Source organism: Homo sapiens, chromosome 1 (assembly GCF_000001405.40).
Source record: "Homo sapiens chromosome 1, GRCh38.p14 Primary Assembly".
NCBI lineage: Eukaryota > Metazoa > Chordata > Mammalia > Primates > Hominidae > Homo > Homo sapiens.
In genome coordinates this window covers 202,193,405-202,207,173 of record NC_000001.11, presented here as the reverse complement: position 1 = coordinate 202,207,173, position 13,769 = coordinate 202,193,405, and the positions used below count along the sequence as shown (strand labels likewise).

General features: G+C 52.8%; 1 protein-coding gene and 1 non-coding gene across 6 annotated transcripts in view, besides 1 other annotated feature; one reads left to right on the top strand and one right to left on the bottom strand.

The window, feature by feature from the left end:
• The window catches only part of LGR6 (leucine rich repeat containing G protein-coupled receptor 6), a 125,963-nt gene extending 112,588 nt beyond the window's left edge, over positions 1–13,375 (bottom strand). For 4 of the 5 annotated variants that reach the window (NM_001017403.2, XM_047426928.1, XM_047426929.1 and 1 more), the window contains exon 1: positions 12,973–13,375. In NM_001017403.2, coding sequence (NP_001017403.1) covers positions 12,973–13,184 — 212 coding nt within the window. In that variant the 5' untranslated portion in view covers positions 13,185–13,375. Of the gene's footprint in view, positions 1–3,298; positions 3,463–12,972 lie in introns of those variants that run through there. The other variant, NM_021636.3, reaches the window with a different exon arrangement.
• Positions 3,362–3,431: an enhancer, noted in NCBI's record as "active region_2332". NCBI's record gives its function as "activates an Ori minimal core promoter by ATAC-STARR-seq in GM12878 lymphoblastoid cells {active_cell/tissue: GM12878}" and the evidence as "EXISTENCE:reporter gene assay evidence [ECO:0000049][PMID:35858748]".
• Positions 9,443–9,546, top strand: LOC124904840 (small nucleolar RNA U13). The gene has a single exon (XR_007067436.1). It is a non-coding gene; the product is annotated as a small nucleolar RNA U13 (small nucleolar RNA).
• Positions 13,376–13,769: the final 394 nt, after the last annotated feature.

Sequence of the window (13,769 nt, the reverse complement as noted above, 5' to 3'; positions counted from 1 at the left end):
AGGTCAAGGTGGGTGGATCACCTGAGGTCAGGAGTTCGAGACCAGCCTGGCCACATGGCGAAAACCCGTCTCTACTAAAAATACAAAAATTAGCTGGGCATGGTGGCAGGAGCCTATAATCCCAGCTACTTGAGAGGCTGAGGCAGAAGAATCGCTTGAACCCGAGAGGCGGAGGTTGCAGTGAGCCAAGATAGCGCCATTGCACTCCAGCCTGGGTGACAGAGCGAGACTCTGTCTCAATAAATAAATAAATAAATAAATAAATAAATAAATAAATAAATAAAATAATTTGCAGCACCCAGTGCAAAATAAAAATGTGGGGCCCCTTGTAATAAAATTATTAAAAATTTACACAGCTCTCTCGCCTGTAATCCCAGCAAGTTCAAGACCAGCCTGGGCAATATAGTGAGATCCCATTATAAGTTTTAAGTTTTTTAATTTTAAAAAAACTTAAAAATTAGCTGGTTGTGGTGGTGTGCACCTGTAGTCTCGGCTACTCAGGAGGCTGAAGTGGGAGGATCACTTGAGCCCAGGGAGTTGAGGCTGCAGTGAGCGGAGATCGTACCATTGCACTCCAGCCGGGGTGACAGTGCAAGATCCTGTCTCGAAAAAATAAAATAAAATAACACACACACACAACCGAAAAAAATAACATGGCAACAGCAGAGCAATGGCCCAAGCACAGGGCCCTGTGTGACTGTGTGGGTGGCATGTCTGTGAAGGGATCCTGGCCACCCAGTCACACATGCTGAAGCAGGTAACTGCGCTGGGGGGCCGGGTCCATGGTGGCCTGAGACGTGATCTGGTTCCCGGCTCTGACTCCTTTGGGTCCTGAGCTCTCATCGGCCCCAGGTAAGTGAGGGTGGGAGCCCAGGTCCTGTCGCAATGCTCATTCTCTCTTGCTTTTGTCCTAGACAATGGTTCCCTTCCTTTCTCGTCTCCTCCCAGTCTCCTAATCTGCTCTGTCCACCACAAAGGCAGCGGATTAGTTTACAGCCCCTAACTGCCTCAACTCTCACAATTCCTGGACACTTGATCCAGTGTCCTCCATCCTCAAACACTCCCAACCCTGGGTTGCCCCAGATCTGGAGCTGAGAGGAAGGGAGAAAAAATGAAATGCATACACTGGAACTGTTTACAGTCCTGTCCTGAGCGCCCCCTGCAGGCGGAGACCCATACTAGGGGTGTGTGTGTGTGTGTGTGTTGTGTGTCTGTGTGTGTGTGTGTTCTTGAAGGATGTGTGTGTATGTTTGAAGGAGGTGTGTGTGTGTGTTAGGTGTGTGTGTGTTTGAAGGACGGGTGTGTGTTTGAAGGAGGTGTGTGTTTGAAGGAGGTGTGTGTGTTGGGGTGTGTGTGTATGAAGGAGGTGTGTATGTTTGAAGGAGGTGTGCGTATGTGTTTGGAGGTGTGTGTGTGTATTTGAAGGAGGTGTGTGTGTGTGTTTGAAGAAGGTGTGTGTGTTAGGGGTGTGTGTGTATGTTTGAAGGAGGTGTGTGTGTATGTTTGAGGGAGGTGTGCGTGTGTGTGTGTGTTTGAAGGAGGTGTATGTGTATGTGTGAAGGAGGTGTGTGTGTATGTTTGAAGGAGGGTGTGTATGTGTATGTTTGAAGGAGGTGTGCATATGTGTTTGGAGGTGTGTGTGTGTGCTTGAAGGAGGGTGTGTGTGTTTGAAGCAGGGTGTGTGTGTGTTTGAAGGAGGTGTGTGTGTGTTTGGAGGTGTGTGTGTGTTTGAAGGAGGTGTGTGTTAGGTGTGTGTGTGTTTGGAGGTGTGTGTGTTTGAAGGAGGTGTGTGAGGTGTGTGTGTTTGGAGGTGTGTGTGTGTTTGAAGGAGGTGTGTTAGGTGTGTGTGTGTTTGGAGGTGCGTGTGTGTGCTTGAAGGAGGTGTGTGTTAGGTGTGTGTGTGTGTTTGGAGGTGTGTGTGTGTGTTTGAAGGAGGTGTGTGTGTTTGGAGGGTGTGTGTGTGTTTGAAGGACATGTGTTTCGAGGGTGTGTGTTTGAAGGAAGTGTGTGTTAGGTGTGTGTGGAGGTGTGTGTGTGTTTGAAGGAGGTGTGTTAGGTGTGTGTTTGTTTGGAGGTACGTGTGTGTGTGTGGAGGAGGTGTGTGTTAGGTGTGTGTGTGTTTGGAGGTGTGTGTGTTTGAAGGAGGTGTGTGAGGTGTGTGTGTTTGGAGGTGTGTGTGTGTTTGAAGGAGGTGTGTTAGGTGTGTGTGTGTTTGGAGGTGCGTGTGTGTGCTTGAAGGAGGTGTGTGTTAGGTGTGTGTGTGTGTTTGGAGGTGTGTGTGTGTGTTTGAAGGAGGTGTGTGTGTTTGGAGGGTGTGTGTGTGTTTGAAGGACATGTGTTTCGAGGGTGTGTGTTTGAAGGAAGTGTGTGTTAGGTGTGTGTGGAGGTGTGTGTGTGTGTTTGAAGGAGGGGTGTGTGTGTGTGTTTGGAGGTGTGTGTGTGTTTGAAGGAGGTGTGTGTTAGGTGTGTGTGTGTGTTTGGGGGTGTGTGTGTGTTTGGAGGCGTGTGTGTGTTTGGAGGTGTGTGTGTGTTTGGAGGTGTGTGTGTTTGAAGGAGGTGTGTGTTTGGAGGTGTGTGTGTTTGAAGGAGGTGTGTGTTAGGTGTGTTTGTGTTTGGAGGTGTGTGTGTGTTTGAAGGAGGTGTGTGTGTTTGGAGGTGTGTGTGTGTTTGGAGGTGTGTGTGTGGAGGTGTGTTTGGAGGTGTGTGTGTGGAGGTGTGTGTGTGTGGAGGTGTGTGTGTGTGTTTGGAGGTGTGTGTGTGGTGTGTGTTTGGAGGTGTGTGTGTGGAGGTGTGTGTGTGGAGGTGTGTGTGTGTGGAGGTGTGTGTGTGTGGAGGTGTGTGTGTTAGGAGGAGGTGTGTGTTGGGTGTGTGTGTGTTTGCAGGTGTGTGTGTTTGGAGGTGTGTGTGTGTTTGGAGGTTGTGTGTGGAGGTGTGTGTGTGTGTGGAGGTGTGTGTGTGTGCTTGAAGGAGGTGTCTGTGATGTGATCCCAAGAAAAGGAACCACGAGCACAGATCCTGCCTTCAGGAAGCTCCCAGACTGAAGGAGGAGGCATGGCCCCTGCCCTAAAAGAGTTCCCCTCTCCTGATGCAAAGAAACACAGCTCCTGTCCACAAGGAACCCTGAATCTGATGAAGTAGAGCATCACAATCAGACAAACATACAGACAGATGGGGACACACACACCCTACAAAGACATAGTGAACATAATACTACCTGGTATTTTCACAGGAAATAAAATCGCACCCCCTCTGTGCTAAACACCCCCCAAGGAGGATCTTGCTTCATGCAACAACTCACCGGGCAGAGATGATTATTGACACTTGACAAACAAGTGTCAACCTTGGTCTTCCCATTCCTTGGCCTGTGGGTTTTCCTTTGCACCACAACCGCCTTTCAGGGGCTTCCGCATTAGGAGCATCAGTTAGACACAAGCGTTCCCTCCTCTGTGCCCCGCCTGCTACGCAGTATCTGGCCCTGCCTGGGTGTATTTCTCACTTCCTACAACAGGTCACAGTTATTTGCGCTTGTCTTATCTCTCTCTCCAAGGCTCCAGGGGAGAGGAAAGAGGGCAAGCATTCAATCCACATTTGTCACATGAACAAATGAGTGATTGAATGAATGAATGAATGAATGCTTGCTCCTCACAACAGCCTGGGAGTTCAAGTGGCACTATCATTGGTTATTAACAAGGGGCATGAGGGGCACCGCAGCACCAGTGGGGATGACAGGTATTGCCAGAATCCACACAGTGTGCTGATGGCAACCGGGGCTTACATACACTCTACCGAACTGCGCTGTTCTTCTTCGTGCAAAGGAACATGGAGCATGTTGGGAGAGGTCCAGAGACCTGGAGAAAAGAATCCTCACACTGGATTCACTGGGAAGGCTTCCTTCCTATAGGAGGTGCTAAAAGCTTCTTAGTGGGGGCTGCCTTTGGCCTGTTTCTCAGGAGCCAATAATAACTCAGGTAGGGGGGCAATTCTAACTTGCCAATCACACAGGGAGTTGGAATAAACCTCCATGTACTAGGCTCCCATTTTCCTGGTTCACCCACATATTCCCCTATACAAAGAAGCACTTCATCTGCCCTGCAAGAACCCCAGCAATGCACTGAGCTGGGGGTGCTACATGGAGAGAGTGACTCCGCACTGCTCCTCTGCTCCTCCCCCTCCATGAGTCCATCTGCCTTGGCTTTGGGCCTGGGGACCACATCCAAGTCCCTGACACTGGTGCAATGGAAGACACTCAGCACCTTTCTGCCACCTTATGCAGTCTGGACACTCTCGGGGACACTCCCACCTCCTCCAGCACCTCCAAGGGCAAAGGGGAAAGGATGGTGGCAGAAGCAGAGGGTGAGAGGAATTGTGTCCTAGGACCGACCCTCTGGGTCTCATTCTCGGCAAGCTCTAGGCAGGCAGAGTCAAATAGGTGAAATGAAGGGCCACTGCAGGCCTGCCTCCACCGCTCCTCCCAAGTGCCTCCTCTCAAGGGGAGACTAGATAGATAATAACCATAGCTCCCATAGATTGGGCATTTGCTATGTGCCAAGCACTGTGTCTAATTATAAACATCTTTCCGTATGCCCATTTTGAAAGCAAGAAAACAGAAGCTGAGAGAGGTGAAGAAACATATAGCCATAGCTGGTTAGAGCTGGAACTTAGCCTCGAACCCATGTCTGCTTGGCTGCAAACATGCACTCTTTCTTCTATAGCAGCGCTTCCAGGTGTGTGCCCAGATGGGGTCTCCTATCCCTTGGGATGGCTGGATGCTGCCCAGGGTTGACTGGGTGCCTTTCGCCTGAGAGGCCTTGTTGGTTTAACCCAGGACACTGAATACCTTGGATTGCGTTTGTGTGTTTGTGTATGTGTGTGTCTGTGTTTTTAAAATGTGTGCCCTGAGGGAAAAAGGGCAGAAAACCCTGCTCTAGAACATGCTGCCCCAGGGAGTGGGACAGAACAGGTCGTGGAGATGAAGTACAAAAGCCCCAATGTGGTTCCTCATTCTAACCTGGGCTCATGGCTTCCCCTTCTCCTGGCCCTGAGTTAAGTCCTTCTGGTCTTCAGGACTCAAGCCTCTTCTCTCTCCCCTGGGCCTTCCCTGGCCACCTCGGTCCTCTTTCTCCCTTGAATGCCTGTGGACCTCACCTCTGGTCCTCCCTGGATGCTCCCAGGATTATCTGATACAGTGAGTTCACTTCTCACGTGCACCTGGCTGGTCTCTCACTGACAGTCATCACCCTGACTGCCTCCCAGAGGATCCAGCAGACAGTAGGTCCTCAACATCAACGCTGATGATAATCTCCACACTCAAGGATTCCGTCTTACCCTCCCCAGAGTCCCCAATTTCTGTGCTGAGCCCCAATACCTTCCCCTCCAAGTAGCCCCCATAGATGGGCTCCCAGAAACCACTGCTGGTGGATGGGAGGGAAATGGGGCAAACCACTGATCCTTCCCCCAGAAAGACAGGAACTGTAACTAGGCTTTGAGAGGGTGCTTGGCCTGAGATTTTGACGCAGCCAGAGTCCTGCTCATTCCCTTGGAGTTTGGAAACCCCTCAGCTGTGGGCCTCTGAGAGGCAGTAGATAAAGTGGGTAGGAGGGAGGCTGCCTGGGCTGAAATCCCCCCACCAGCAACTAGTGGCAGGTTGTCTTAGGCAAGCTCCTTAGCACTGAAAAGCCTTGGTTTCCTCATTGGTAAGTGGGGATAACACTAGCACCTCTCTCATGGGGTTTATGTGAGATGATGCAGATAAAGTGCTTGAGCGCACTTCCTGCCACATGCCAATCATTCAATAAACGCTGGTTATTACTATTATTGGTAAAGGAAGAGACATCAGGGTGATGGTGGATTCCTATGTATGTCTCTCTGAACCTATGGGGGGCCATCAAGACTGGGTCCCAAGAATGAACGTTCCTGATGAGCTAGTGTCTTTCTGGAAGAAGATCACAGTTCAGGGAATGAAAATATCAACCAGGAAGGTATCCTCACCGTGCTGGAGCAGACAGGAGAGGCAGAGAGCTGGGCGCAAGATGCTTCCCTGGTCCCAGCCTCAAATTCACATCTCACAGTTAATCAGAGAGGGCCCTGATCTCCCAGGGATGGGGAGAATTGAAGACACAGAGCATAGGCATCCCCTGATGGTTTCTGGAGGAGACAAAAGATTGTAGCAGAGAAGCGGGGGCTGGGGATGGGACACAAAGGAAACTTCAGTTCTGGAGGTGCCTTAAGTAGCCGGGCCCAGCTCCCCTCCAACCCGCCAGCCGCCGGCCTGCCCATGGCCTGCTCTGGCATGGCTCCGGGGGGCACAGTGCCAACCCCTGAGCTCTCCCCCCACCATGTCCTTTTGCTGATTCCAAAATAACTCTCTGCTCACTGCCCAAGTTTGGCCTCTCGGGTGTTTTTCTCCTCCTGGGACCTGTTCTCCCATGTCTGAAGGGCGGGAGGAGAGACCTGAATTGTCATTAGGGACTGGAGATCACTCCATTTTTGCCAATGGACTAGTTAGTACAAAGGGGACCCCACGATTCTCAGAAGCCCCCAGGTCAGTGAGTTCATTTCGGTTTGGCTAAAAGAAGTTGCCATTTCCAACATGGGGAAGGGAGATTGGCATTTTCTCCGCCACTCCATCTCCTGCACCTTCCCAAGGTGTCTGAAGCCCCAGCAGGCTCCTTGATCTTGGCCCTGCTCCCAATAGTGACTCACTAGCCTAAGGTCACATAGCCCATTAAGAATGAGCTCAGAGGAGGATCCTCACGGCCCCTCAGGGCATGTCTGCCCCCAACCCCCACAACAACACTCCCAATCCCAAATGACCCATTCACCCCTGCTTTTCCTTGGGCTATAGCAGAGAAACTCTAATTTCAAGGAACTCTGATTTCTGGGGAGAAGCTGTACTCTCCAGACAGTGCTAACCTAGAAGCCCAGATTCTTCCTCTTTGGAGAGTCTCCCACCAGGCGGCAGGCTTAGCCCCAGCTCCTCCGGGCATCCCCTGGGAGAAGGATCACTTCCTCCACCATCCCGGCCCAGGAGCCCAAGAGCAGAACTGGCTGCTTGAAAGGCCTGTTTCCCTGAAAGTCAGTGGGACGGGCTTTGTTAGTAAAGGAGGAGGGTGGGAGGGAAGGAAGGGTGATCTGATGGGGCTCCAGAAGATGAGACTCTGCCATCCTAACTCCCCGTCCTGTCACCAGTAGCTCTGCTGGGCCCTTTTCACAGTAGTTTATTTGTAGCTGAAGGCAATAAGAAAAACAATATTAATAGTAAACATTTTGTAAGCCCTTATAGCATAAAAAACCCTTTGCTTTCTTTGTCTCATTTGCTTCTCCTCACAACCCTTTGAGGTAGATACTATTAGTGTTTCCATTTTAAAGACTGAGAGACTGGAGCTTTGGGGAGGTTAAGTGATTTGCCCAAAGACACAGCTCATCAACAGTGGAGCTGAGACTCAAGCCTGCGCCCAGCAGGGCCTCCCCATTGGGATACCTTCTGTGCCCTGTGTGTCTCTCCCCCGGGGGGCGTGGGTCAGTGCAGGAAGCAGGCTGCAGCGCATGTGGGGCCATCAGGGTTGAGAGCCCATGGAATGGGGGGAAGGCGGGGTGGAGTGGGGGTGGGCTGGGGGCCAACTCTGCTCTGAGCCAGGCTTTCTTCTCCTCCGCCAGCCGCCCCACCCGGCCGCGCCCCATGCCCGCTGCTGCCAGAGCCGAGAGGTTTCCTTTTTCTTTTGCCTAGGGCTGTTTCCTGCCTTTCCTTTGAACTGGGGTGTTGGCTCCCCCACACATTCACCCACCTCCGGCGACCCCCCGGGTCTGCCTTCTGATGGGCCCACCCTACTAGGCTCCACTTTGGAGCAAGGCTGGCACAGGAGAGCCCCAGGGGACCCCACTTCCTGGAGTCACTGTACCCCTCCTTCACCCTTCTCTTCCCCACCCTGGTCTGGGTGCTGCCTGGGTCCTCCCCTTCCCTCCTTCCCTTCCCTCACTGCCTGCAGCTGAGCAGCTCTCCCGGGGAGCTTTCTCTGTCCCACACCAGGAGCAGGAGATTCAAAGTGGATTGCTCCCTGCCTCTCCCACTTTCTAGTTTTTCATCCAAAACATGGCTTCTCTGGACATTGAGGTCCAGAGAAGTTTTGGGACTTGCACAGGGTCTCATAGCAACTGAGAGACTGAAGATTAGAACTCACAAACCCCAAGTTTCCGGAAGGAGGAGTCAAACTTTTAGAATCTATTAGAAAGGGCAACTAAGACTGGGCCAGGGAAGGGTGGCCTTGGAAGTGAGAAATGAGACCTGGCACGTTGGCACCCCCACCCCCAACTCACAACACATCCTCTCCAAGGCTGGCTCTCCCCTGTTAAGGCTGCCTGTTTCTCTGCTTCCTCATCTGTAGCCCCTGCAGGGGCCCGTCTAGACCATGTAAGGGAGCATGCTGGCGTCTTCCATCAGGTGCTCCCCTCCCCTCCCTGGATTTTCAGACTGTACTCTTAAAAAAAAAAAAAAAAAAAAAAAAAAAACCTAAAATTACTCTGGTTCCCAGTAGAACTCACTCCATCTTCTTGGCAGCTTCTTGCAGCTCTCACAGCCCCCAACTACACACACACCTATCCTATGCCTTTCATAGAACAGGACTGCTTCCCTCCCTCCCATGCTAGCTCCAGGACTTCCTCCTCCAGGAAGACTTCCATGACTGACATTTCTTGGCCCTGGTCACCCTAATAACAACACTGGCTAACATTTATCGAGCTCTTCCCATGGACCAGACATTATGCCAAACCCTTTGCAAACATCATCTAAGTGAATCCACACAACAACCCTATGAGGTAGATCTTAACCCTGTTTACAGGTGAGGAAACTAAGTCACAGAAGGGCTAATCAACTGGCTGGGGGTTACATAGTTAGTAAGTGATAGCTTGAACTCTGCTTTGTTGTGGCAAATGCCACAACCTCTTACTCTCTGCCTCCAGCATCCTGCCTCCATCATTTTGGCTGTAGACATCCCCTGCAAATTACCCTGTATCTACACACACACACAGACACACACAGACACATATGCACACACCATCTAACCTGTCAAACAAGTCCAGTGGTTATCAGTTATCACAGGCAATCTTAAAGGGAGTGAATTCGTAAGAAAGCAATCAGCAGTCTGAATGGGGGTTGCTTGGTGTAGCGGCCCCTCCCTCAGCCCTGGTGGCAGTGGGCGATGAAAATGGGTGCTTAGGTGTGACTGCAAGTGCATGAGCCTGAGGTCTTTTACAACTAGCTGCGTGAGACACCTTTTCTGGCACCATCTGTTTACTGACACTGCTCAGCCTTGCGGGCCCAGAGTAACTACCCAGATCTTTCTGCTCAGCAACAACTCCGGGGATTGTCTGCCCAACAAGTTATGTGCTGTCTGTGTATTCCTGTCTCTGCATCATGTGCACATGCAATGGAATAGAACAAGAGGTGATACTTTTGTAGTTAAGAAGTGTGACAATTGGGTTTTCGTGCTCACATGTGAGAAGTGCCTCCCTCAAACCTTGTTATGAAGTCAGCACATTACTGGTCTTCTTTTTTTTTTTTTAAGAAGAAAGAAAAAAGAATAGAACAAGAGGCATCATGCCTTCTCGTCACCATCAGATTGGATGTCCCAGAGCCAGGGGCTCCATCTCCCTCTTGGTCTATTTCCAGAACAGGCCCTAACCAGGGAGAATGTCAAAACCCCGGTGAGTGTCAATGAGCCTCGCTGAGACTATAGTTTAAGAGGAAACTGTTGCAAAAAAGAGAGACATATGGAGGATTGTGAGTATCTGAAGTCCGTCTTCCCAACCTTGATCAAACAGGGCTGGCATTGAGCCCAAAAGTGGTAATAGTTTTTGGACATGTGTGTCAAGGCAAAGAATACCAGTTGGCTATAAAGACGCCTTTCTGGTCTTCCCTAGAACCAAGATGGAGAGGTGGAAGCACCTACCTCATGAAAGGTATTGGCTAGAAGGAGAAAATCTCACAGCCGTGGAGTGGGGGAAGAGATGTGATGTCATTTTTATTGAGACCAGGTCAAGGAATGTGCAAGAGGACTTGCGGGTACCTTCTGGAGCCCATAGCTCCTGGGCGCCTCCTATAGTTCTGTCTATGGCTTCTTCTAAGGATCTTCGAGTCTTCTCTGGCCTGCTACTTCCTGCATGTCCAAGTGTTTTAACATTTTTCATTTTAACTCTGTGTCAGGAGGACCTAAGTCCCCACTCTCCCTCCCGATCCCCAACCCCCAATTTTCACCAACTGGTTGGGCTCCAAGTCCCCAGAACCAGCCAAGTATTGATCAAGAGTTGCCCTGACAGTCACCTCCCCAGCACACAGCTCTCTTCCTCCAGCCACAAACCATTCCCTTGAATTCTACACTCACCCACTAGGCTCAATTTTCTTCTGGTGTGGAGAGGCCTGGTAGTTTACCTCCACCTCCATGGAGCACCCATAGGAGGCATGATAATACTAGCCACCATTTCAGAGTTACCCTCGGGTGTCAGGCACTCTGGGGACTTTCATTGAACATATTATCTCATTTAATCCACTCAGCAACCTGCTTCCTCATCTCCATGTACACATGAAGAACCTGAGGCTTAGAGGTGTTCAGTGAGTGATTCTCAGTAGGTGGCAGAGCTAGGAAGGAACCAAAGTTTGAGTGGCTCAGAGAGAGGCACTGCTGATTATATCATCAGATGCGAATCTGTGCTCTCCTCAGCAAGGGCTGGGATACATGGGGCAGGGCCAAGCTGGACATCTCCTAACATCGCTGAAAAGAGAAAGGAGCCCCAAGACTTCCCCACCCTGGCTCTTCTGCATGCCAGCTCTCAACCCCACCTTCAGGTGCCTTTCTGGTAGAGCTGTTCTCCAGAGAGGGCAAAGAAAGAAAATTCCTCCTCTGAGACACCCTCAGGACAACTGTAGGAATCCTTCATGCACCATCCAGATGGGACCCCTCCCCAGCCCAGGGCAGGGGACACGGTCCTCTGCCACCTCCTTCCAATATTCCAGACCCCACTGCTAAATTCCCCATATTGCCTCAGGACCCATCATACTCTTTATAGCTCCCACTCCCTCTCTTCTCTCCACAACTCTCAGAAGCATCCCCTGAGTCTTGAGAGAGAGGGGCTTTCTCAATCCCCAGGAAGACACAGACCAGCTCAGAAAACCCCACCTCCACTGAACCCAAATGCAGACTTCACAGCTCCGAGGGAATTGTGGCAAGCTAGTGGGAAAAACTTCTGCCAGCATGGATGGTAGGATGCTTGAATTCCAAAGGTGACAGTGTACCTCCTTCCCCAAGTCCTTCTAGAAAAAGGGTCATTAACCAGTCTAGGAAGACTTAATGCTGGGAAAGGAAGCTCTGGAAGGCCTTATCTCCCCTGCCCCTTCAACCCAGGCAAGGGACCTTCCTTCAGCTCACCCAGAGAAAGGCTCCACAGAAGTCACATCTAAACTCTTTAGCCACAGGACCCTGTCTTCAAATGAACCAATGTCACATACTCCCAGGATAGAAAACTGCTGAAAGAGGGGCTGGCCTGTGTGTAGGGTGGGGCCGGAGCCTGCCCTGCTTTGCCAGATGCTGAGCGCCCAGGCTCTGTGCAGTTGGTACCTTTATTCCCATGATTGCCTCTGCCGTCACCTACTGCACTGTGAAGGATTCCATTTGTCCTTCTAGATGGACATTATTTTTCTCTTCCCACTCCCTTACCTGGCCCACAGCCTGTGCCTTTTGGAGTGGAGGGGGACATCCCAACCTGGGGACAGGGACATTTGGAGAGGAGCCCCATGAAGAGTTGCCCTCTGGGACCCTCTACCTCCCACCAGGACACTCCCAACACTGAGCATCTTTAGTTCCACAAATTCTTGCTAGGCCCCTATAAAGATTCACCCAGCCTCCTCTTCCTCTAAGCTCCCATGTGCTGGAACCCCAAAGCCATAAGGAGCCTCTCTCAGGCCAGAAGGAACTCTGGGATCCTAGCCCTCAGCAGAAGGCCCCACCAGGCTTTCCCACCTGCTCCCAGCTCCTCTGAGGAAGTTGATAGAGCCTGCAGAGCTGGGCTGGAGGAGGTTTCCTTGCCCCAGAGCGGGGCTGGGGGTGCAGGTGGGTGGCCTGGAATGTGCTCTCTCACCCTCCTCCTGCCCAGGTGGTGAGCAGCCAGAGCCCCCAGCCCTCCAGCTCTGAGGGGAAGCTCCCATGAGCCAGACAGACAGGACAGCTGCCCCCAGTAGGGTCCCCTTCACGCGCCATCTCACCCCAACTCAGACGCTAAAAATGGTTCTCTGGTTTTCAGCCTCGGCGCCTGCCCACAAATTAGTGTCTCCAACACAGCCTCTTGGGACATGACTTTAGGGAGGCCCCTGGGGGAGCCAGGAGGCCCCAGTGAAGGGAGATGGTGCTGGCAGAGTCCCTTTCTGAGGAGACAAGAGTGGATAAGGCCCCCCTCCCAGCTTCTAGGAAACCCGCCCCCCCCGCCCCCACGAAGGCCACCCAGCCTCAGTGTGACAGCCCTGTTGTCCTCACCATGGCAGAAGAACAGACATTATTTCCACCCTACTGGGGCACGCTCCCCTCACCTCCACCTCCAGTTCTGTCAGCTTTACCCTCAGCCACCATCCCGGGCACTGCTCTGCTAGAAGAGAATGCAGCAACAGGAGATGGAGCAGCCAGCCCCGCGCCCTCCCGCTCAGGGTCCAGAACCCACCTCGCCAAGCCTGGGCTCCCATAGTCAGCCCACAAGCACGGAGGCCAATGGGGAAGCCAAGTCAGGGAAGCCCGGTCTCCCTGCTCGCCTGGTATTTAGTCTCAGACTCTTCTCCCCTCCCCAGTCCCGCAACGGTCAACTTGGAAGGGGGCAAACCCTCTCCGGGATGCCCATGCCCCAGGGCACCAAGCAAGCAGGTGCCCTGCTGAGGCCGGGACTGGGCGCTAGCCAGCAGCCCGCAGGACCAGGCGGGGACAGGCGGGCAGTACTCACAGGTAAGCCGTCAGGGGGTCCAGGTCCCCCGGAACGGCGGACAGCCCGAGCTCAGAGCAGTCGGCAGACAGCATGATGCCGTCCTCCTGGCAGTGGCAGGGGGCCGGGCAGGCGGTGGGCCCCGGGCCGGGCTGGGGGGCGCCGCCGGCCCTCCGGGAAGCGCACAGCGCGGCGCAAAGCCATAGCGCCCGGAGCCCCGGCGGGCTGGGCATCTCGGCGGTCGGGCTACTGGGGCACCTGGCGGCCGGGCGCGGACGCACGGCGCGATGGCCGCAGCTGCTTCCTCCCGGTCCCGGCGGGCTGCACCGTCGGTGGGGACCGCCCCAGGGGCTCTATTGGGCGGCGGCGGCGGCGGTGGGAGCGCCGGGACGGTGCAGTCAGAGAGGGGCAGGCATTGTTGAGTGATCTTCGTTATTCAGTTTCACAGGCTGGGCTTGGCAAGGGAGGGAGACCCAGCCGGAGGAGGAGTCAAGGAAACTTTCTACACTGCGGCTCGCTCCTCTTCCCTCCTTCCTTCGGAGCTGGCAGGAATTTCATCCAGGAAAGAAAAAAAAAAAAGGAAGAAAGCAAAGAAACCCAAGCGAGCAAAGCTCAGCCCGTCAGAGACCTGCATTTGTTTGGATAGGGTGTCCCAGGGCCTTGGCCGCAGGGCTGGGGACCCTCTTGCCTTTGGGGACAGCCACGAGGTCACATGGGACCCAGAGGAGGTCTCTGAAAGAGGCCTTGGGGCTCCCATTGCCCCTCATGCCTCCACCACGTTTCACACTGCAGGAAACTGAGACCCAAGAGGCAAAATG